Source organism: Homo sapiens, chromosome 22 (assembly GCF_000001405.40).
Source record: "Homo sapiens chromosome 22, GRCh38.p14 Primary Assembly".
Classification (NCBI taxonomy): Eukaryota; Metazoa; Chordata; class Mammalia; order Primates; family Hominidae; genus Homo; species Homo sapiens.
Genome location: NC_000022.11, coordinates 31325586 through 31346485, shown reverse-complemented (window position 1 = coordinate 31346485; position 20900 = coordinate 31325586). Strand labels below are relative to the sequence as shown.

At 53.0% G+C, this 20900-nt stretch overlaps 1 protein-coding gene and 1 long non-coding RNA gene across 5 annotated transcripts, besides 8 other annotated features; one reads left to right on the top strand and one right to left on the bottom strand.

The window, feature by feature from the left end:
* Window positions 140-20682, top strand: PATZ1 (POZ/BTB and AT hook containing zinc finger 1). Of its 4 annotated transcripts, none has more exons than NM_032052.2 (5): window positions 140-2154; window positions 3526-3589; window positions 10623-10794; window positions 17627-17699; window positions 19177-20682. In NM_032052.2, exons 1-5 carry the CDS (start codon window positions 884-886, stop codon window positions 19208-19210), a joined length of 1614 nt encoding a protein of 537 aa, NP_114441.1. In that variant the 5' UTR covers window positions 140-883; the 3' UTR covers window positions 19211-20682. The 4 variants fall into 4 exon arrangements, with proteins under 4 accessions (NP_114441.1, NP_055138.2, NP_114439.1 ...); NM_014323.3 differs by having other exon boundaries at window positions 17562-17699; NM_032050.2 differs by lacking the exon at window positions 17627-17699.
* Window positions 345-764: a silencer, noted in NCBI's record as "silent region_13628". NCBI's record gives its function as "represses an Ori minimal core promoter by ATAC-STARR-seq in GM12878 lymphoblastoid cells {active_cell/tissue: GM12878}" and the evidence as "EXISTENCE:reporter gene assay evidence [ECO:0000049][PMID:35858748]".
* Window positions 1315-1384: a silencer, noted in NCBI's record as "silent region_13627". NCBI's record gives its function as "represses an Ori minimal core promoter by ATAC-STARR-seq in GM12878 lymphoblastoid cells {active_cell/tissue: GM12878}" and the evidence as "EXISTENCE:reporter gene assay evidence [ECO:0000049][PMID:35858748]".
* Window positions 2205-2742: an enhancer, noted in NCBI's record as "H3K27ac hESC enhancer chr22:31739730-31740267 (GRCh37/hg19 assembly coordinates)". NCBI's record gives its function as "activates a minimal SCP1, AML or CMV promoter by ChIP-STARR-seq in naive H9 embryonic stem cells {active_cell/tissue: H9 hESC(naive)}" and the evidence as "EXISTENCE:reporter gene assay evidence [ECO:0000049][PMID:30033119]".
* Window positions 2743-3281: an enhancer, noted in NCBI's record as "H3K27ac-H3K4me1 hESC enhancer chr22:31739191-31739729 (GRCh37/hg19 assembly coordinates)". NCBI's record gives its function as "activates a minimal SCP1, AML or CMV promoter by ChIP-STARR-seq in naive H9 embryonic stem cells {active_cell/tissue: H9 hESC(naive)}" and the evidence as "EXISTENCE:reporter gene assay evidence [ECO:0000049][PMID:30033119]".
* Window positions 3282-3819: an enhancer, noted in NCBI's record as "H3K27ac-H3K4me1 hESC enhancer chr22:31738653-31739190 (GRCh37/hg19 assembly coordinates)". NCBI's record gives its function as "activates a minimal SCP1, AML or CMV promoter by ChIP-STARR-seq in naive H9 embryonic stem cells {active_cell/tissue: H9 hESC(naive)}" and the evidence as "EXISTENCE:reporter gene assay evidence [ECO:0000049][PMID:30033119]".
* Window positions 5495-6469: an enhancer, noted in NCBI's record as "H3K27ac-H3K4me1 hESC enhancer chr22:31736003-31736977 (GRCh37/hg19 assembly coordinates)". NCBI's record gives its function as "activates a minimal SCP1, AML or CMV promoter by ChIP-STARR-seq in naive and primed H9 embryonic stem cells {active_cell/tissue: H9 hESC(naive and primed)}" and the evidence as "EXISTENCE:reporter gene assay evidence [ECO:0000049][PMID:30033119]".
* Window positions 7507-8007: an enhancer, noted in NCBI's record as "H3K27ac hESC enhancer chr22:31734465-31734965 (GRCh37/hg19 assembly coordinates)". NCBI's record gives its function as "activates a minimal SCP1, AML or CMV promoter by ChIP-STARR-seq in primed H9 embryonic stem cells {active_cell/tissue: H9 hESC(primed)}" and the evidence as "EXISTENCE:reporter gene assay evidence [ECO:0000049][PMID:30033119]".
* Window positions 8465-11137, bottom strand: PIK3IP1-DT (PIK3IP1 divergent transcript). Its single transcript, NR_110542.1, has 2 exons — window positions 11070-11137; window positions 8465-8818 (listed from the first exon to the last, which is right to left on the bottom strand). It is a non-coding gene; the product is annotated as a PIK3IP1 divergent transcript (long non-coding RNA).
* Window positions 16823-17507: an enhancer, noted in NCBI's record as "H3K27ac-H3K4me1 hESC enhancer chr22:31724965-31725649 (GRCh37/hg19 assembly coordinates)". NCBI's record gives its function as "activates a minimal SCP1, AML or CMV promoter by ChIP-STARR-seq in primed H9 embryonic stem cells {active_cell/tissue: H9 hESC(primed)}" and the evidence as "EXISTENCE:reporter gene assay evidence [ECO:0000049][PMID:30033119]".
* Window positions 20683-20900: the final 218 nt, after the last annotated feature.

The following is a 20900-nucleotide window of genomic DNA, read 5'->3' as shown; positions in this document are numbered from 1 at the left end:
CAAGGCCGGGGACGCCGGGGCCCCCACTCTGAGCTCGCCGTTTCTTTTTTTTCTGCAAGCGAGAGGGGGGGTGTTGTTGGTATCGCCCCCTCCTTCTCCTCCCCCCAGGGGTGAAAGTGCAAGAGGAAGTGCAGCCGCTGCCATCTTTCCTCCGCTCCGAACACACGGAGCCCGGGGCCGCACAGCCGCCGCTCCGCCGCCGCCTTCTCCCGGCCTGAGGAAGGGCCTACTCTGCCGCCGCCGCCGCCCGCCCGCTCCAGCCGCCGCCGCCGCCGCCACCGCCCTCCAGGCTCCGGGACCCGGCCCGCGCCACCGCCCCCGTGCGCGCCCCGCCGCCGCCGCCTTCGCCTTCGCCTTTTGTTTCCTCCGCTCCGGCGCCCCCGCCCCGGCTCGCGCTTTGCAGGGGACGCAGCGCGCGCCCCCAGCGGGCCCGGGAAAAGCCGCGGCGCGCGCGCGCGCCTGCGCGGCGGACCCCTCCTTCTCCTCCCCGCGTGCGCGTGCCCTTCTTGGCTGCGCGCCGGCGCCGCCTGGCGGGCGGGAGGGGAGGTGGCAGGCGCGTTTGCAGGAGGGGCGCACCTCTTCGCTCGCGCACCCCCCCGGAAGGTAGACCGGGAAGGGGAGGCGGGCGGGCGGAGAGGAGAGAGTGGCGCGCAGTCCAGCGAGGGCGGGGGTTGGCTATGTGGGGGGTGGTGCACCCCGCAGTCTAGACAGTCTGATCCGGGCTGGGGGCGTGTACACTCGGCGCACCTGCGAGACTACAGAGCCTCGGGCCGGCACGTGTGGGGAGTGTGGACACGTCTGCTGCGCCCCGCTTCTCGCTGCTGAGGGGAAGGGAGGGGGCGGGCAGGTGCAGCGGCCGGGCTAGTGGGAGGGGGCGGCGGCCATGGAGCGGGTGAACGACGCTTCGTGCGGCCCGTCTGGCTGCTACACATACCAGGTGAGCAGACACAGCACGGAGATGCTGCACAACCTGAACCAGCAGCGCAAAAACGGCGGGCGCTTCTGCGACGTGCTCTTGCGGGTAGGCGACGAGAGCTTCCCAGCGCACCGCGCCGTGCTGGCCGCCTGCAGCGAGTACTTTGAGTCGGTGTTCAGCGCCCAGTTGGGCGACGGCGGAGCTGCGGACGGGGGTCCGGCTGATGTAGGGGGCGCGACGGCAGCACCAGGCGGCGGGGCCGGGGGCAGCCGGGAGCTGGAGATGCACACTATCAGCTCCAAGGTATTTGGGGACATTCTGGACTTCGCCTACACTTCCCGCATCGTGGTGCGCTTGGAGAGCTTTCCCGAACTCATGACGGCCGCCAAGTTCCTGCTGATGAGGTCGGTTATCGAGATCTGCCAGGAAGTCATCAAACAGTCCAACGTACAGATCCTGGTACCCCCTGCCCGCGCCGATATAATGCTCTTTCGCCCCCCTGGGACCTCGGACTTGGGCTTCCCTTTGGACATGACCAACGGGGCAGCCTTGGCAGCCAACAGCAATGGCATCGCCGGCAGCATGCAGCCAGAGGAGGAGGCAGCTCGGGCGGCTGGTGCAGCCATTGCAGGCCAAGCCTCTTTGCCTGTGTTACCTGGGGTGGACCGCTTGCCCATGGTGGCTGGACCCCTATCCCCCCAACTGCTGACTTCCCCATTCCCCAGTGTGGCATCCAGTGCCCCTCCCCTGACTGGCAAGCGAGGCCGGGGCCGCCCAAGGAAGGCCAACCTGCTGGACTCAATGTTTGGGTCCCCAGGGGGCCTGAGGGAGGCAGGCATCCTTCCATGCGGTCTATGTGGTAAGGTGTTCACTGATGCCAACCGGCTCCGGCAGCACGAGGCCCAGCACGGTGTCACCAGCCTCCAGCTGGGCTACATCGACCTTCCTCCTCCGAGGCTGGGTGAGAATGGGCTACCCATCTCTGAAGACCCCGACGGCCCCCGAAAGAGGAGCCGGACCAGGAAGCAGGTGGCTTGTGAGATCTGCGGCAAGATCTTCCGTGATGTGTATCATCTTAACCGGCACAAGCTGTCCCACTCTGGGGAGAAGCCCTACTCCTGCCCTGTGTGTGGGTTGCGGTTCAAGAGAAAAGACCGCATGTCCTACCATGTGCGGTCCCATGATGGGTCCGTGGGCAAGCCTTACATCTGCCAGAGCTGTGGGAAAGGCTTCTCCAGGTGAGGAAAGGCCCCCTCTTCCTCCCCTGCCACACGTTATCTTAGTCCTGAAAAGGCTCCTGCCAAGATCTGGGGGTGTGGGATTTGTGGGGGTCATTTGACCTTATAGAACCATGCCAGGTTTGGGTAGAGTGTTTTTAAGGGCCCTTATTTTGAGATGGTATGCCTGAGACCTGCTTTCCATTCCCTCAGGGAAGTTTTTTTGACGCTAAGTGTGCCCTACTGTCTCTCCTCCTGGGGCCGGATTCCTCAGGCCAGAGCCACCGGACCTCACCATTCTTCCCCCAGGGCTCCCTTTGTGTTTCCGGCACCAGGCGTGGGGCCCCCTCTGGGGGCGGGAGACTGGGCTCCTCCAGCGACTTCCCCGCTTGAATGGCTGCCGAGGGAGGTACTGGAACAAGTGCATCTGGGACTCCCTACACTCTTGAGGCACCAGATTCCCCAACACAGAACACTGGCCATCCTGATCAGTAGACTCCAGCTGTGCCTCTCACACCACCCTGGGATCATGGGACACAGAGCTGGTCACCCAGAGCTGCTGCTTAACACCAAAAGCTTTGATCTGCTCTGACCTGGTAGCTCTAGAGCCTAATGGGACCCACGAGCCCCTTTATGTTTTCAGGACAGAAAGGAATGGGGACAGGATCTCTATGTAGGTTCACTTTCTAGTTAGCCTGTTGGGGAACTGAGGACTTGTCTGGGAGCAGAGGGTGATTTTGTTTTTCTCCTAAAAGGCCGGTTTTAACCTGGATTGTAGGACCTTGTGTGTGTGAACACAGGGATGGAGAACTCCCTCAGAGGGCCCCGACCAGGAACCAGTCTTACCGGTCAGGCAGCCCCTGCCCACCTGCTCAGGCGGGCATCTGGCTTACCAGCCCAGCTGGGGACTTAAGGCTCCACTGCTGGCCTCTGGGGACTGAATTCCATCCGGGTGGCATTCATTGGCTGCCCGTGGCGGGAGAGGCTGGGGGAGGGGATTGCTGAGTTTCTAAGGGGCTTTAGTCTGGACAATGAATCACATATCCCCTCCTGGAAAGGCTGCAGTGAGGCAGCTCTGTTTCATTCTACTGCCACCGCCTCTGGTCCTAGAAAACACTGAGTTTCTGGTGGGGAGAATTGAGGGAGTGGGGAGGCAAAATCAGAGACAAATGCCCATTTCTCTTCCCCCCTCCAGAGAAAACCAGGGCAGAGAGGCCTGGGCCTGTGGAGCCAGAACTGGGTGGTGACTTTGTCTTTGTCATGCTGGGGTTGGGGAGAGGGAGTCCTTTCCAGCAGTGAGTGTGTGTGTGTGTGTACACACGTATGCATATGTGCCTGTGTGGTGGGGTCTGGCCAAGTTTCTAAAGTCCCTCTTGGTTCTCTCTTTTCCAGGCCTGATCACTTGAACGGACATATCAAGCAGGTGCACACTTCTGAGCGGCCTCACAAGTGTCAGGTAGGGGCTGGGTCAGGGCAGAGATGGGCTGAAGGAGATGATGCTGTTCTCACGGTCGCAGCCTTGAGCCAGCCGCTGCGTGTGCCGGGGGCCCGGCTGACCGCCCACCGCTTTGCACACCTCCCCTCTGTTCCTCCACCCTCCCTCTGCTCTCCTCCTTTGTTCTTCCCCCAGGCCCCCTTCCCCCACAGCTGACGTTCCTCCTTCCTGGTTGCTTGGTCCTGGTTCCCACCCTGTCTTTGCCTTCACTCTGTTGCTTGGCTTTCCTCTCCTGGTGTTTGCCGGCTCCTTGGATGGTGGGCCGTATCACACAGATGTTGTGTTGGGAGACCCGGCACTGCGCTGGGCCTGACTGTTGGTTTCCAGCAGTTTGTAGGGACTGCAGGTTTTTTTAAAAGGGCTCCTGGTGGTCCAGCCAACCACTCTTCCCCTTTTCTGACCTCAGTTAGAGCTCCTCCTGGGTCCCCTCAGCTTAGGGCACAAGGCAGTGGGGGAGGTAGGAGGTAGGGAGTGGGTGGTCCCCTCTCCCACACTGGCATCTGTTTAACCCATCCTAAGCCAGGGTTTCTGGAGGACTGGAGAGCAAAGTGGGCTCTTCTTCTTTTAGCTCTTTGCAAAGTAGCAGGTAGGAAACGCTGGACCAGATAGATTCTCACCCTTGGTTTACCTGCTTGAACAATATCTGGGGGCCCTGCTGGTACCCAAAAGATTGAGTTTCCTCTCCTGGCCACTGAGCCTTCCTGTGTGGATAGCGAACACACCTCTGTCTTCTCCTTGGTTATCTCCCCTCTCCCATGCCAAGTTCCCATCAAGTGAGGGCGAGCCATGATTGTGGGGTGTGCACTGCAGTCTCTGATAGGATAACCTGCTTCTCCTTATCCTGTTGGTGGCAAGGGGAGAGGGTTCAGGGAGACCAGCAGGGAGGGATGAATGTGCCGTAAGTAGGGCAGAGCCCCTGGGGGTCAGGCGTGGACGGTGTTCACAGGTGCTGGGCTAGGCAGTCTCCCTGGAGGATGACCCAGGGTGGGCCTGCTGGGATCTGTCTTTGCCTTGCTGCCTTCTCTCTCTCTGTCTCTGATTCTCTCATCACAGAGCACATTCTGACTCAGGTAGTGTGCTGATTAGCCCGGGCAGAGTAGGAGGAGCCCAGAGGGCAGTGGGGGCAAGCCCGGTGGCCTGGGGGGGTAACCTGCACTCTCTGCCCTTTTTCCAGGTGTGGGTTGGGAGCAGCAGCGGCCTGCCGCCCCTGGAACCTCTTCCTAGCGACCTGCCATCATGGGACTTTGCCCAGCCTGCTTTGTGGAGGTCGTCCCATTCGGTTCCTGACACCGCCTTTTCCCTTTCTCTAAAAAAATCATTCCCAGCCCTTGAAAACCTGGGCCCAGCACACTCCAGCAACACTCTCTTCTGCCCAGCCCCGCCGGGATATCTGAGGCAGGGCTGGACCACCCCAGAGGGCAGCAGGGCCTTTACCCAGTGGCCTGTTGGCTAGCCTGGGCCTCCCTGGAGAGGGTTGACAGTGGAAGGGAACAGGAGGGGCATTTGGCCTGAGACCCCTGCTTTTGGGAGAGGCTAGCAGGGTGGTTCCTGCCCAGCATGCCCAGCTCCTCCCTGGGTGACTCGGAGTCTTTCCCATGTCAGAGCCCCCAAATGGGGGTAGCAAGGAGCACCTTTCTGGAACCCCCTATAGCATCCAAGTTTCTTTCTGGGCTCTCTTGCCTTTTCCCCCCTTTCACAGATGGCACCCCTGGGCATCTGTCCTTGCCTAGGTGATTTTGGAGGTTGGTGCCTTCCTGGGAACTAGCCACCAGCTTATCTGCTTCCCTTCCCCTGGCATCACTTCCCATAGGCCTGGGGTTTCTAGACTGGGGCCTGGCCACCCCTTTCCCCACTCCACGAGTGAGTCGGCCTCCAGAGAAGACTGGCACAATTCCAACTAGAGTCAACCCATGCTGCCCTCTGCCCTTCCCACTCAGATCTAGATCCTGCTTTCATTTCTGGCTAGTGAAGTAGACTTTTGTGTTTTTGAGGTTTATTAGCAGGTCTGCTCAGGAACCAAACTAATGAGTAGCTTTATATTGGGCCACCCCAATATATGGCTTTGGGGGCTGAAAAAGCAGATGTAGACCCCCTCCCTCGGATCCTTATTGGTGTGCCCTTTAGCACTCCGCAGACTCTGCGGGGTGAACAGGAGTGATGATAAAATTTTTCATTCTAACATTTGAGGCTTTGTGTGTTTTGTCCTTGGTCTGTGTCATAACACTGACATCACTGTCCCTTGGTGTACAAATGCGCTCCTGCCCTGCCCCTCCCAACATACACTCTCACAGACCTGCTGGCCCCTCCTCCAGCCCTACAGCCACAACTCCCCTAACGGACCCAGCAGGTGAAGACATGCTGGCTCTCTTGCTCTGGGCTGGCCAGCCAGGTGTGCCTGGACTTGGTTAAACAGCAGGGGCACCTGTTGGCATAGTGTGGGGATGCTGAAAACATAAGAGGTGAAGAGACGGCTCTCTGGGAGTTCATTCCTTGAGTTCCCCACTGGCTAGGCACAGTCCGTATCGCTCATCCCCTCCTGATGCCAGAGAGAATGAAAGAGGCCAGTTACAGAGACTAGTGCCATAGCTTAAGTAGAAAGGCCATCTGAATGTAGGGGCAGGAAGCCTCAGGCTTGACAGTGGCATGTCTCTTTGGGACTTGGCCTGAGTGTCCTTAACTGGCCCAGATGCCCCAGGTACTGCTGGATTTATGAGCTTAGTGGGCTGGGACATTTCCCCCACATGGAGTTCAACCTGAAGCTGAGAGGCTGGAGCAGCTCAGACCTCCCTAGCTTCCACGGGCTCCACTTCTTGGGGGCTGGTTAGAGAAGGAATGCGTTGAGATGGGCATATGCTCGAGAAGAAGGGGGCCAAAGAGCCCAGGGAGCTGAACCTTCATGCATTGCCCTTAGAGTTTTCCAGGGCTGTGGGAGAAAGCTGCTTGAGACTACCCCTGAGGCTGCCTGAGTTCAAGGGCTACTAAGGGTGGGGGTGTGCACTAGTGCCCTTGGTACCACTTGGGCCCCATTCCCAAGCTGCTCAATCCTTAGGAAGAAAAGCTTTAGGAAGTCTGGGAAGGGAGCAGGACTGGGGCTCAGTGTTGAGTGGTGATGACCTGCACTCAGGGTGCCTGGGCCAGGACCTGGCAGGCATGGCCCTTAATTACAGCAGGCTGTCTAACTAAGCACAGGGCTGTGGGCCGGGCAGCTCTTCCGAGTGCCACAGGCAGTCAAAGCATTCTGCCTCTGGCTCACTCTCTTCCCATCAGCGTCCCTCTGTCTTCTCCCTGTCTCTAGGACAAAGAATGCTCTTCTCCTGACACCCCAGCATGGAAGTTCTGGATGTTCCCTTTGAGATCTGTCTCCCTCCGCCCCTTCTCTCCTGGGTTGTGTGACCAGGCTCTTTCATGTTCTGTGTTGTCTGAACTTCTGCTGTGCCTAGACTTTGGACTTTCACAGGCTCCCCAGAAAACCTGGGGACTGCAGCAGCAGAGGGTCAATCCTGGCACAGAGAAGCCAACAATCACTTCAGCTTGGCTTTGAACACAGGGAAAGCGTTTGTCATGTTTGTGTTTTTTCCCCCAGCAGCAGATTTACATTCCTAATTCTGTTTGCTCAGGCGAAAGTTAGCTTTCATTCCTTGAGAGATAATCAATGGAGGACAGGGTGGGGGAAGCCAGCCCAGTCTGGGATTTTAATTTTGCTTAGCTAATCCCCAAATGGATAAGCCACTTGTGGGTAACTGAAGTTTGGCTATCCATCATCTTTAGGTAGCAAAGCATGACAGGCAAAGCCTTTAGAGGACAGATCCCAAAAGAAGGTTGGCAAGAGAAACAAGGCATCTCTTTCCTATCCCTCTTGTGGCTCCCTCTCCCAGAGACTGTGGAAGACAAAATCCTGAATATGCTTTCAGCCCCCGAGTAGCTGGGACTACAGGCGCCCACCACCATGCCCAGCTAATTTTTTTGTATTTTTAGTAGAGACGGGGTTTCACCATATTGGCCAGGCTGGTCTCAAACTTCTGACATTGTGATCCACCCGCCTCGGCCTCCCAAAGTGTTGGGATTACAGGTGTGAGCCACTGCGCCTGGCCTCAGCCCTGTTTTCTTACACCTGATCCATGTTGGTTCCTTTGAGTTCTGAGGCTTAGAACACACCCTCTCTCACCATTGGAGGGGTGGTCTTTGGGTCGCTGCCTGGCAAAGCTAGCTCTTGTCCCCAAATAAATCAACAGGTGTACCTCTCTTTCCCGGGGGTGTTTATGCAGCCCCTGCTCTGGTTTAGAGACTGCTGGGCTGTGTAGAGGTTAGGAGTTTTTTTCTCCTACTGTGGCCTGTCACTGGGTCATGAGGTCCCTGGCTGACGTGGGGCCCACATGTGGCCATGAGAGCAAGCATCCATGGTGCTTTCTGACTTCCTACATGCTGGAATTTCCTTGCACAAATCTGTTCACCTTTCCCTTTTGGGAGTCCTGGCTGCCAAGTACTGTACACTGTGTTATAAAGTATGAGCACCTTTCACTCAGCAGAAGCTCCCTCTCCTGAATCTGGAGATGGTAAGAGCACAGGCTCTGGGACTGGTTCTTAGTCCAGCTGTCTCATATCCTCTCACGGCCTCCACTGGCCCAGCTGTAAACTGGGAGAGATCAGAATCCCCCAGGGTGTCCAGGAGGATTGGTAAAGTACTGGCCTGGGTGTGGTGGGGGTGGGTGTGCTAGACTTTCTTTAGTAGCTGAGTCTTGTGTTTTAAGCAAGTTCACCTTCTGAAGGTTTCCTCATTTATGATATGAATACACTGAATATATAAAACAGATAAAAGCAGTATGTCATTGCTACAAATTCAGTTCAAATGTATAATGTTTACTTAAAAAGACAATGACAGAAGAGCTAGGTAGGCTGTGCTAACGTACACAGATATTTGGGACTGGGGTAGTAAACAGTGGTGTCTTCTACCTTGACAGCATTGCATGCGTTTGTTTCTTGCTATGGCTGTACAGTAAGGAGACAGTTAGATGTCTGTATGTGTTGACAGTGTTCAGCCACTTACCTTGAGCTCTCAGGTTCTCAGGATGTGCTTCTGTTAAAGAGAGATGGCAGAGGCAGTTCCGTTCTAGCACAAGGTAATGGGGTGGTCTTCAGTGGGTTACCATTTGATCTGTGACACAAAGGTGAATGTTGCTTTCTCTTACAGTTCTAAAACAGTAAACACACACACACACAAAAGAAATGAGTCAAAATTGACTAGAACCCATGAAACACCTCCCTGGAACCAAAATAGCTTGAAAGCCAACGGATTCAGCTCTTCTCAGGGCTTTCCCAATATTCTATGACCCCCACAGCTGGAATGCCTTTGTAAGCTCCAGCTGAGGAAGGGATGTTGTGAGGAGACTGATCACTGGTACTAAGTCAGGTGCTCAGGTACAGGAAGTGCCTGCCAACCTGAGTCCTCCTTCCAGGGTGCTGGTTCTGACCTTCAGCTCCTGACTCATCCAACCCCGGGGGCCTGGCTGTGAGTTGGTGCTCAGCTCACACCACAGCTTTCCAAAGCCACGCTGTCTTGGAGGGTGATCACACAGCTTGCCTCGGAGGGCTGCTGTCAGGATGGGTTGCATGAGATAAGTGCCTCTAAAAGGCTGAGCACCGTGCCTGCCTGGCACACAATGAATGCTTAATCAATACAGGGTAGTATCATCATCCTTGCTGTCACCAGCACTTCCCCAGCTTAACGTTTCACAAATGCTTTTTTTTTTTGAGACGGAGTCTTGCTCTGTTGCCCAGGCTGGAGTGCAGTGGTGTGATCTCGGCTCACTGCAAGCTCTGCCTCCCGGGTTTATGCCATTCTCCCGCCTCAGCCTCCCGAGTAGCTGGGACTACAGGCACCTGCCACCATGCCTGGTTAATTTTTTTGTGTTTTTAGTAGAGACCGAGTTTCACCGTGTTAGCCAGGATGGTCTTGATCTCCTGACTTCGTGATCCGCCCGCCTCAGCCTCCCAAAGTGCTGGGATTACAGGTGTGAGCCACCGCGCCCGGATTTTTTTTTTTTTTTTTTTTTTTGAGAGGAAGTCTTGACTTGTTGCCCAGGCTGGAGTGCAGTGACACGATCTTGGCTCACTGCAACCTCTACCTCCCAGGTTCAAGTGATTCTCCTGCCTCAGCCTCCCAAGTAGCTGGGATTACGGGAGTCTGCCACCACACCCGGCTAATTTTTTATATTTTTAATAGAGATGGGGTTTCACCATGTTGGCCAGGCTGGTCTTGAACTCCTGACCTCAGGTGATCCACCCATCTCGGCCTCCCAAAGCGCTGGGATTACAAGCATGAGCCACCGCACCCGGCCCACAGACACTTTTGAAGCCTCTGGCCCTTGCTGTCTGCTAATTCTCATGTCGTCAGAATTGCCACTATCATTTAATGGGCTGCTTTTTCAATTCAAACTCGTGAAAATATTACGAATAATTATCTCTGCACTTTGTCCTGCCTTTCCTTTCCATTTCCCTGGCCAAGACTAATGTCACTTTTGAATAAAATGAACAAATATAATTCTTTGTATAAAACTAGGGGAAACCCAGGGATACAGAACAGGAAGGCTGGTTTATATGCCAATAACTCATCTGTAAATTCATGTAAATGTAATTCTGTGCATTATAGCTAATGCACCTAAAGTCAATTCTTAATGTCTAAGGATGAGCAAATGTGTAACTCTTCATTGTGTAGAGGGGTATAGAGCTTAGCTTGCCATGTCCTGGGTACATTTCCAGTAGTCATTTAGTTAGTACCAGTGATTCCCACTCAAGTGTCCCGTAAGGAGGTACCATGGGAAATAAGAGCAGCCTCTTGGCATTCTGGGTAGGGAGCCTGAGCCAAACTCTAAAGCTGTCTTTATAAAGGGAGGTCATGTGATGGCCAGAAATTGCCTTTGCTTCATGGTGCACTTGGTGGGGAGTCAGGTGTGGGGTGCTGGGTTTCACATCATCCCATTTTCTTTTCTGCCTTCAGACCTGCAATGCTTCTTTTGCCACCCGAGACCGTCTGCGCTCCCACCTGGCCTGTCATGAAGACAAGGTGCCCTGCCAGGTGTGTGGGAAGTACTTGCGGGCAGCATACATGGCAGACCACCTGAAGAAGCACAGCGAGGGGCCCAGCAACTTCTGCAGTATCTGTAACCGAGGTAATCTGCCCACTGTTTCCTCACTTCCAGAGGATGGGCCTGAGCGTGTATGGGAGGCCTAGGGGTGTCTCAATCACCCTGCCTCAGACTCCACTCTTTGCACAGCCACCCCCTACTTCCCACTGAATGATAAACACCTTCATCACCCAACTAGCTATTTGCTACCTCTTCCTTCCCAAGAAGCTTGGGGTGCTTAGAATGGGAAGTCCCAGGAGACCAGCAGGTCAAAACAGAAGGAGAGAGGTTCTTCCCAAGCTTGGGCCCATAACTCTCACCTGCTACTCAGATGGCAGGATGGATGCATTTTGCAGACACCACTGAACCACTGAGGTTGGTGGGGGAGTTAGTAGGTCCCAAAGTGAGAGAAAAAGAGGTTGGTCCGGCTTGAGAGCTTTTGCTGGTTGATTCACTGGCATATGAAATTCAGCAGCCAGGGAAGGAGGTTGAGTCTGGAGATAAACAAGGAGCAGACACTTTGTAGCACAAGTAGTCAGAAGAGAGCCCAAACTCAGGTAGATTGTGGCCTTGAGAGAGGAAAGTGGAAGGTGCTCTGAGCAGGGCAGCATGCTTGAGGACAAGGTGGGCCTAAGTAGTGTCTAACTCTGTGGCAGTGGTGTTGTGTTGGGTGAAGTCAAGCCTGTCCCCAAGGTTCTGCCGGGTCTAGTTGGCTGTTGGAAGTGCTAGATGTTTGTGTTTTGCAAGCACAGCATCAGTGGAGGCTTGCACTGTGTCTGTGCTAAAGGAGGTTGGAGCAGCTATCTGTGAACGTGAGGATGCTTCTGCATGGTGTGCTTTGCTTTGGCCAGTGGGGAGCACTGGGATGTCCTTATCTCCTGGGGCATTCTTGCTTGTCCCAATGCTTCCGAAAGCCTGCTTAGTGGGTGCAGCACTGAACCAGGAGTCAAGAGACCCAGGGTTTAGTCCCAGCCTCTCACTAGGTGGCCTCGAGTTCTCCCATTCCCTCTCTAAGCTTGAGTTTCTTCATCTCTCAAATGGGGTTAAGAATAGCCCCCTTTCCCACCTCACAGGGCTGTTATGAGGATCCCAGGAGACAAGGTAGGTGAAAGGAGCCGCACACTTGGGAGACTCTATCCTTGCACTTTGTAACAATGTTGGGAAAGACATGCTTGTTGACACTCTGGGTTGGACCAGGCACAACACTCCTGCAGGCCTTGGCGGAATCGTTGGGTGCCTGTGCTGTGTTCATGTGCCGAGGTCCACGGTGGAAGGAGATTGCTGAGTAGCTGGGTGTTCTTGGTGTCCTGGAACTGGGTCCCTCCTTGCAGCTTCATACCTGGGGTTTGTACCACCAGGACACCTGCTGTGAAAGCAGGGAAGTAGTAGTGAAGGTCTCTTAAGCTGTCTGTTCTGTTTTCTGACATGTCATTAGAGCCCATTGCTGACAGGAGCTTCCTCCAGGTTGCAAGCGGTGGGCTTGCGCATGCAGGGAGAGTTATCAGGCTGTGGCTGACTGTCTTGACTGGGGCTTCCCCAGCCCTAGAAATAATGTCGTTTCTTGTCTTGCTTCATCCTAACCTGGCTTCCTGACAGCTCCCCCGGATAACTCAAAACCTGCTGTAACAAGCTGTTAGCAGGCATTTTGTCAAGTTTTCAATATGGAAGTTCCCAGTCTGAGAACTGGGGTCAGAGACCAGAGGTTGAAAACTGCTGAGTGGAGAAGGGTGCTCATGATAAAACTCAGAAAGCCCAGACCAGATGGTGGAGTAGGGCAGAAACTGGACAGGAGACCCAGGGCTACAGCCCTTGAAGCCCAGCTCAGGAGGAGAGAAAAACTGAGAGCAGCAGGGACAGTGGGAAAGTTGGCCCAGTAAGGAAGCAGCTGATGTGGCAAAGCCAACAACTATTGTACATCAGGATTTATTTTCCAAGGGCTAGTAAAGAGAACTTGGGCAACAGCCATAAGCTACATGACCGGAATGGAGAATCCAGAAGAGTAAACCAGAGTCTACTTTTTCTCAGAAAAGCCAAGACTGGGTCTGGATCACAGGCCAAACATCTCTGGGTTCCAGAGCCAGAGCGGGAAGTCCCTTTCCTGCAAGAAGACTAAAGAAGGTGCTGGTCCAACCCATGCTGGGTACTCAGAAAGAAGAGAAAACAATTGCAGTTTTTATCAGAAGAGAAGGAGCAGGATTCTACTCCTGGACTCATTCCTTGGGCAGAAATAGGAAGAGACAAAAAAAAAAAAAAAAAAAAAGGAAGAGGATAAAGTTCTTTCTGAGCACCAAAAACATTGAGACATTGGAATCAAAATGCAGAGAGCTCTGTGTCCTCCTTTGCCCTGCTGCCACCAAGCCTGTACCTACAGGAGGGGTTGCACGAATAAACGAATGTTCTTATCTCTGCATGTGTTCAAACAAAGGCTGAATGTCAGAACAGTTAAGATTGAATCAGGTGAACTTCCAGGTGCCCTCAGATCCTTCAATCCCAACAATTCTTAAATAGTTGACTTAAGTATCTACCTATAGATCTGTCTTTTTCAATTTTTGCCACAAAAATGACTCCTGGCTGTGAAGAATGGCAAAGAGGAAAGGCAGCCTGACTCCTGCAGCCTCACACGTGAGTCAGATGCAAGTTGAAGAGACAGATGACTCTGGCTTTGTCATACAGACATATCAGGATGTGTATGATACTATTTGTACAGGAAGATCATTTGCAGTGGAGGGAGTATTATGGCTAGAAAAGCTTGTTCCCACATTTTTGAGTTGAGGAAATCAGTTGAGTTGAACAGTGGAAAAGGGAGAAGGCCCTGGCTGATCACCATGATTTTCTTCCTTTAAAGTTTCTGTAGCAGGATCTTTGTATATATGCCTATGTGCTGGTATGGTGAAGAGGAACAGATTATCAGGAATCCGCCTTTGACAGAGACATTTGAATGCAAACATCATTGCTTGAAAGGTAGAGGAAGCCTTCTCCCCAGTCAGAGGTAAGCACACAAGTGGATGGATGCAGGGAACCTGCTGTTCCCCTGGACTCACATCAAGCTATGTAGGCCCACTCCAACACAGTGCAGTTGGGAATGGCCCCTTCAGGGTTTGGACAAGGAGAAAGCAGTCCCCAACCCCTGCATTGATGTGGAACCTGCCAAAGGATGATTTGCTTCTGGAGTGCCAAGTGCAGGCACACCAGGCAAGAAAATGCAACTGAGGAGCAGTGGCCTTTTGCTAATAAGACCATCGTCTCTGGAGTGAAAGGGCCGGTGGCTTGTTGGTTGTAGTGGCAGTCATATGTGTGCTCAGCATCTCCATTGCGTGGATGGCTGGATCAAGCTGCCTCTTTGGATCTTGGTTAATCAGTGGTGAATGGGTGGGTAAGTTTAGAATTCCGGCTAAATATGTCTGGCTTCAAAGACGTATTCTGCTCAGAAGCTCAGCTTCTGTTTCATCCTAACACTTGGCTGCTGAGTTGCTCTGTGTTTAAATTCTAGGCTTTAAGTGGCAGCTGTGGATCCACTCCTACCACCCCGCCATGTGGTTTTGCTATAGATAGTACAGTCTGCAGCTGGGGTAAAGTCAAGAGGACTCAGCCACGTGTTTCTAAGACTGTTTTTCAGGAAAACTCAGCAAGACAGTTTCGCTGTTGTTGCCCAGACTGGAGTGCAATGGCGCGATCTCAGCTCATCACAACCTCCACCTCCTTGGTTCAAGCGATTCTCCTTCCTCAGCCTCCCTAGTTAGCTGGGATTACAGGCATGCACCACCACGCCCGGCTAATTTTGTATTTTTAGTAGAGACAGGGTTTCTCCATGTTGGTCAGGCTGGTCCGGAACTCCCAACCTCAGGTGATCTGCCTGCCTCGGCCTCCCAAAGTGCATGAGCCACTGCGCCCAGCCAAACTCAGCAAGTTTTTATTGAGCATCTGCTGTGTTCTCTTGGTATAGCTCTCCCAGTAAGGAGTAAACATAATAATTCCTGGTGCTCTCCCGCTCCTTTCTGTCCCCTTTTGATTGCAGTGGACCTGCTCTGGTTCATCACAGGGAGAGAGCTTCATGCTATTTTAGAGACCCCACAAGGGATTAAAAAACTAAGGAAAGGCCGGGCACGGTGGCTCACGCCTGTAATCCCAGCACTTTGGGAGGCCGAGGCGGGTGGATCGCGAAGTCAGGAGATCCGAGACCATCCTGGCTAACATGGTGAAACCCCGTCTCTACTAAAAATACAAAAAAAATTAGCCAGGTATGGTGGCGGGCGCCTGTAGTCCCAGCTACCAGGGAGGCTGAGGCAGGAGAATGGCATGAACCCTGGAGGCGGAGCTTGCAGTGAGCCGAGATGGTGCCACTGCACTCCAGCCTGAGCGAGAGTGAGACTCTGTCTCAAAAAAAAAAAAAAAGGAAAAAATTACCTTCTAAAGTGGTATCATCATATTATCAGAAAGTTCTAATATCTTGTACTGATTGGTGGGAGCCAATGTCTCCTGGTTCTGCTTTGTTTTAGGGGACTCTACAGTACCACCCCAAGGGGCAGGGCTAACAGCCTCTTTCCCATTAGCCTTGTCTCCTCACTCCTGACTACAGCCTCCCTCTTAGGGATGTCTACATGGGACCCTCTTACACCAATCTATACCCATGATCAGCCTCAGGCAGACCACTGCGGTCATAGCACAGGACAACTTGCTCTACCAGGCAGGGCAGGACACCAGCACCTGGTCTAGACAGATCTTTGAAGTAGCTGTATTGGGAAAGGAAGGAAAATTGGCCCAATCCCACATTTCCCTTCAGAACCACTAACTGCTGCTGTCAGAGGAGAACTTGTTAAATAAAGTTCCCACAGGCCAGCCCTGTTTTTCCAGCAGCTTCCATTCTAACATACCATTATGGTCGAAAAATACATGAGTGTAAATGGTAATAATGAAACCTATTGTAAAAGTCCACTGGATATTTCTAGGGCTCAGGGCTAAGACACAGGAACCAATTAACCCATTTATGCTGGAGGTTACAAACTTTTTTGTGAAAAATCAGACTTTAATGATGATCTTGAGCAGTAGGATACAAATAATTCCTAAAAGGTTAGCGTCCCAATAATGGAACATGAGGCATAAGTGGGTTAAAGCATCTGCCCAGTAGCTAAGGGCCAAGTTCTGGTGGCACATGATCCTGGGGTTGGAGTCCAGGCTCTGCCACTCAGTAGCTGTACGTGTGACCAGGTTACTTAACCTCACCAAGCCTCTTTTTTTTTTGAGACGGAGTCTCGCTCTGTTGCCCAGGCTGGAGCGCAGTGGCATGATCTCAGCTTACAGGTGCCTGCTACCACGCCCAGCTAATTTTTTATATTTTTAGTAGAGACGGGGTTTCACTGTGTTAGCCAGGATGGTCTCGATCTCCTGACCTCGTGATCTGCCCACCTCAGCCTCCCTAACCTCACAAAGCCTCTTATTTCTTTATCTGTAAAATGGGTATAATAGTAATCTGTAGCACAAAGGGTGTTGGGCAAATTCTATAGAATAGTGCATGCGGTGTGCTGGGCCCTGGTGTGCCATCAGCACTTCCTAAAGGTGAACCTTTATTACAGTTCCAGCAGCATTCAAAATACCATGCCAATTCAGACTTTTTTAAAACAAATCTCATGCAGACATTACACAGTACTCTTCAGCCTCTGACCCTTTACCCTTTAGCAGTGGATCTCACTGTTATCCTGTGACTGTGTAATTTTGAAAGTGAATGGAAACACCTGATGATGAGTCAACCAGATCTGAAGTGGATTAAAGGGACACTGTCAGGGTGCTGGCACCCTAAGTGGGCCTTATACTAAAAAGCTTCAGTTCCTGCTAAAAGCACCTTCTGATCCTTGACTACAGTGGGGTTTGATGGCATACCTCCTTCCTGTGAAACCCAAGTCAAAATCCTTTTATCGGCCTGCCTGATTCTGTATCCTTGGACGCATGGCTGCTGTGGAAGTTGGCCCAAGATGTGTTCTTCCCAGCCTGAGATATCTCGTGGATCAGACTGACCGAAGCATCTGGGAGGTGGGCTGGAACAGTCCCAAGAAGGCCGGATTGTCCTCCCCCAAAATAAAGACAGAGATCATCCGTGTTTCTTCTCCTGTACGCGAACCTGGTGGATGCTCCAAAATCGAACCAAAACACTACCATGAATAAGAGATGACTGCACTCCTCTGACACAACTTCCTATTTTTGTCTTTGTTCTTCAAAAGGTCTAAACAGTTACTAAATCCTGTTATGCTGAAGGTGGGGAAGTTAGAAAAATAGAACATCTCCTGACAGGTAGAAGACGGGATCCTTGGAGGCGTTCCTTTGGGATTTCATTTTACCTCCATCTCGTTTGTTGTCCAGTTTCCTTTTACGAGGATTAAGCAGGCATCCTGCTGGCTAGAATCCTGTGGCTTCCCTGGAGCCTCAAATTCTTGTCTAACCACATTTCTAGTCATGGTTCCTGCAGGAGACATCCACTCAAACCACCTGTTACTGAGGCACCAAGCAACCCTAGAGGCAGTTGGCCTCTGGCCCTAGCAGGAGCAGGATCTCAGGCCATCCCACCAGGCAGCCAGCCTCAGCCCCTCACCGCAGCCTTGCAGAGTGGGCTCTGCAGAGAAGCCGATTTGTGGACAGTGCCACCCTCCATCCTGAGTCACATGGCTCATGTGGTTGCAGCCATTTTTGAGCCAGGAGGGGGCCCCTTCTAGGTGCAGCTGACCTGGGAATGCTAGCCAGAGCGGCCAGAGGAGAGGAGTTGGGGGAAGGAGAGAGGTATCTCTTGCTGGCCGCGGGATCTCATCTCCTTTTGTCTTGTTTAGGTTTCTCCTCTGCCTCCTACTTAAAGGTCCATGTTAAAACCCACCACGGTGTTCCCCTTCCCCAGGTCTCCAGGCACCAGGAGCCCATCCTGAATGGGGGAGCAGCGTTCCACTGCGCCAGGACCTATGGCAACAAAGGCAAGCGACCCCTTGCTCTGCACTTTGCTTCTCTGCGCAGACTGTGTTGTGGGGGCGCTGGGCTGGGCGTGGGGAGGCGGGAAGGCTGCCGGCTTTCTGGCTGCCTTGAGGAGACTCAGAGATCTGAGTGGCAGTGGCCTCCAGGACAAAAGTCACAGTGGGTATCTCACTCCAGGGCAGTGAGTGAGGCTTTAGGGCACTGCCGAGATCCAGCCTCCGCCTCCTCTTCCCCAGCCCTCCTCCTTTCCTCCTGGCCAGCCCCCACTGTCTGGAGCCCTGCAGGGATGCCCCGGGCCCTGGGCAGAAGAAGAGCCCTGCATGATGAGTCACTATGGGCCTGTCACTGCCTGCTGCCCTTTAGGATGGTGTGGAGCTGCGGCTGAATGCTTTCTCCTCTTTTGACCCAGTGGGCCGGTGGGAGCCAATGTCTGGCTTCTCTCACAGTAGGAGTGGTTGGTTACTGTGAGTGGCCCTTTCTGGAGAGCCTCTGGCTATGGTTGTGAGATGCATGGCAATAATGAGCTATCTGACTCCTCTGACTTGGGAGTTGGTTTGCAGAAAGCTCCCCAGGCCCACCTTCACTTGTTGATTCAGGTTGTTTTGTGGTATGTCACGTTGTCGTTGCCTTGGGGATGAGGCCAGGGGCTTGGCAGATGGTAGAAACAGCAGAGATGGCATGCTCCATGCTCCCATCACAGACCTCCCTTCCCGGCATGGCTCTCTGGACCCAGGCAGGAAGCTGCTGATTGGTGGAGGACTCCAGTGTGGGCCGGGCAAGGCAGAGCAGCCAGGGTTGTCTCTTGGCCCAGCTTGTCTGGGGCCTAGGGTGGGGACACCCAGCCGACTGAGTAGTACAGAGTTGCTTTCAATCTCTGTGCTTGGGCTGCTTGGCCCTGAAAAGGTTTTGGCAGAAGGAAGGCGGTAAGGACAGGGCTATGTTTGCAGCATTAGGAAAAGGATTGGCTTCTGTCTGAGCCATTGATGGGGTCTACCCAGGTTGAGGACCTAATGGCTCTGGTTCTGCCTGTCTTGCTAGGGTGCAGCTAGTCTGGTGCAGGAGGCGAGGCTACTATTACACTGGCTCGGCATCATCAGAATACCAATTTTACCCTCAGAGGCACCCAAAAGAGCGCCTAGGAGTTGGGGGTCTTTGAGTTGTTCTGGGCAGCTGTAGCAGAGTTGCCCTCTCTGTATCCCTTCCTTGAAGCAGGCTGAGATGACGGTGAGCAGTACATGTGCAGCTGCATGAAGAGTCCACAGCAAGGGAGGCTGGCAGCCCTAGGGCCCTGCCGTTTCACCCCTGTAGGCACTCCAGGCTCCCAGACTGACCAGCTGACCCTCCGTGGGTTCTGCCAGGGCAGTGGCTGGCCAATGGCTGCCCTCCACAGGTCTGTGAGCTGGCCCCTCATGACCCCTCCAGGAGGGGGCATCTCCAGAGCCTGGCCTCATCGCTCTCCTATATTTTGTTTTTTCGTAGAAGGCCAGAAATGCTCACATCAGGATCCGATTGAGAGCTCTGACTCCTATGGTGACCTCTCAGATGCCAGCGACCTGAAGACGCCAGAGAAGCAGAGTGCCAATGGCTCTTTCTCCTGCGACATGGCAGTCCCCAAAAACAAAATGGAGTCTGATGGGGAGAAGAAGTACCCATGCCCTGAATGTGGGAGCTTCTTCCGCTCTAAGTCCTACTTGAACAAACACATCCAGAAGGTGCATGTCCGGGCTCTCGGGGGCCCCCTGGGGGACCTGGGCCCTGCCCTTGGCTCACCTTTCTCTCCTCAGCAGAACATGTCTCTCCTCGAGTCCTTTGGGTTTCAGATTGTTCAGTCGGCATTTGCGTCATCTTTAGTAGATCCTGAGGTTGACCAGCAGCCCATGGGGCCTGAAGGGAAATGAGGCAGCTGCTGTGTCCCCACGGAAACAACCATCTGGGGACTGCTGGGAAATGCTGTGAATGCGGAGGGAAGTGATGTTTGGGTTCTGTAGCTGAGAGATTTTTATTCATTTTTAACTGCCCCCCAACCCCACTCCAACTCCTTCTCCACCACCCATTCTCCCAATGGTCTTTAGAAATAGATTTTCATCTGATATTCTGCAGAAATATCAATGAGACTTGGTATGGGACAGGGGCAGAAAACACTACATAGGCCTCCAAGGCAAAACCAGTCCCAGTTTCTTTAATGGGAAGAAGCTGGAATTCCTGGTGCTCAATTCTTAGTGACCCCAATCCTATACCCAAATCTATGATATTCTGGGACCTCAGTGATTTTGGTCCCCTCCCACTTCTCTAGTTCGTCATCCTCCCTTCCCATATCCTTCAAAAGAACCACACTAGGGTCTCCACCTACTTATACAATGCGGATGCCCAACTGTTTTTAAGGAAGCCAGAAGCATCCCATGGACCATGGGGTGAGTGTCCTCCAAGAGCCCCCTGAGCTCAGCCCTCTGCCTGGAGGGCTCCAGACCTTTCTGAGCCCTGCTTGGAGGCGAGCATTTTCACTGCTAGGACAAGCTCAGCTGTTGAGGACACCCCCACCCCAAATTTCAGTTCTTACGTGATTTTAACCATTCAACATGCTGTTGGGTTTTAATTCTCTAATTATTATTATTATTGTTATTATTTTTTAGGACCAGTTGTAGTGAATTGCTACTGAAAGCTATCCCAGGTGATACAGAGCTCTTTGTAAACCGCAGTCACACATTAGGGTTAGTATTAAACTTTGTTTAGATGTACCATAATTAACTTGGCTAGTTGATTGTTTGAAGTCTATGGAAGAAATAGTTTTATGCAAAATTTTAAAAAATGCCAGTCTGGTCAGGGAAGTAGGGGGTTTCAATGCTGTTGGGAACCAGGAAGGTGGGACAGCCGGCAGGTAGGGACATTGTGTACCTCAGTTGTGTCACATGTGAGCAAGCCCAGGTTGACCTTGTGATGTGAATTGATCTGATCAGACTGTATTAAAAATGTTAGTACATTACTCTATCTGCTCCCTTGAGTCCAGTTTTTCAGCTGTGGGGGTCTTTGGGACCCAGAGGTGGGCAGTCCATACCCCAGCACCTGGGGTGGGAGTGGGATCCCAGGAGACCCCTTTTCCACTTCATTGCACCAGTTCCACTGGGATTGACAGGTAGATGGTCCCACTGAAGACTTAGAATGCCAGAATTCACCCATGTGTTCAACAAATATCCACTGCTTGTCTT

What these genes read in the sequence shown, in the direction of transcription:
- PATZ1 (NM_014323.3), top strand. Translation starts at nt 884, where the DNA reads ATGGAGCGGGTGAACGACGCTTCGTGCGGCCCGTCTGGCTGCTACACA. An exon ending in TGTGGGAAAGGCTTCTCCAG is followed by an intron (nt 2,155 to 3,525) that starts GTGAGGAAAGGC and finishes TCTCTTTTCCAG; the next exon opens with GCCTGATCACTTGAACGGAC. An exon ending in AGCGGCCTCACAAGTGTCAG is followed by an intron (nt 3,590 to 10,622) that starts GTAGGGGCTGGG and finishes TTCTGCCTTCAG; the next exon opens with ACCTGCAATGCTTCTTTTGC.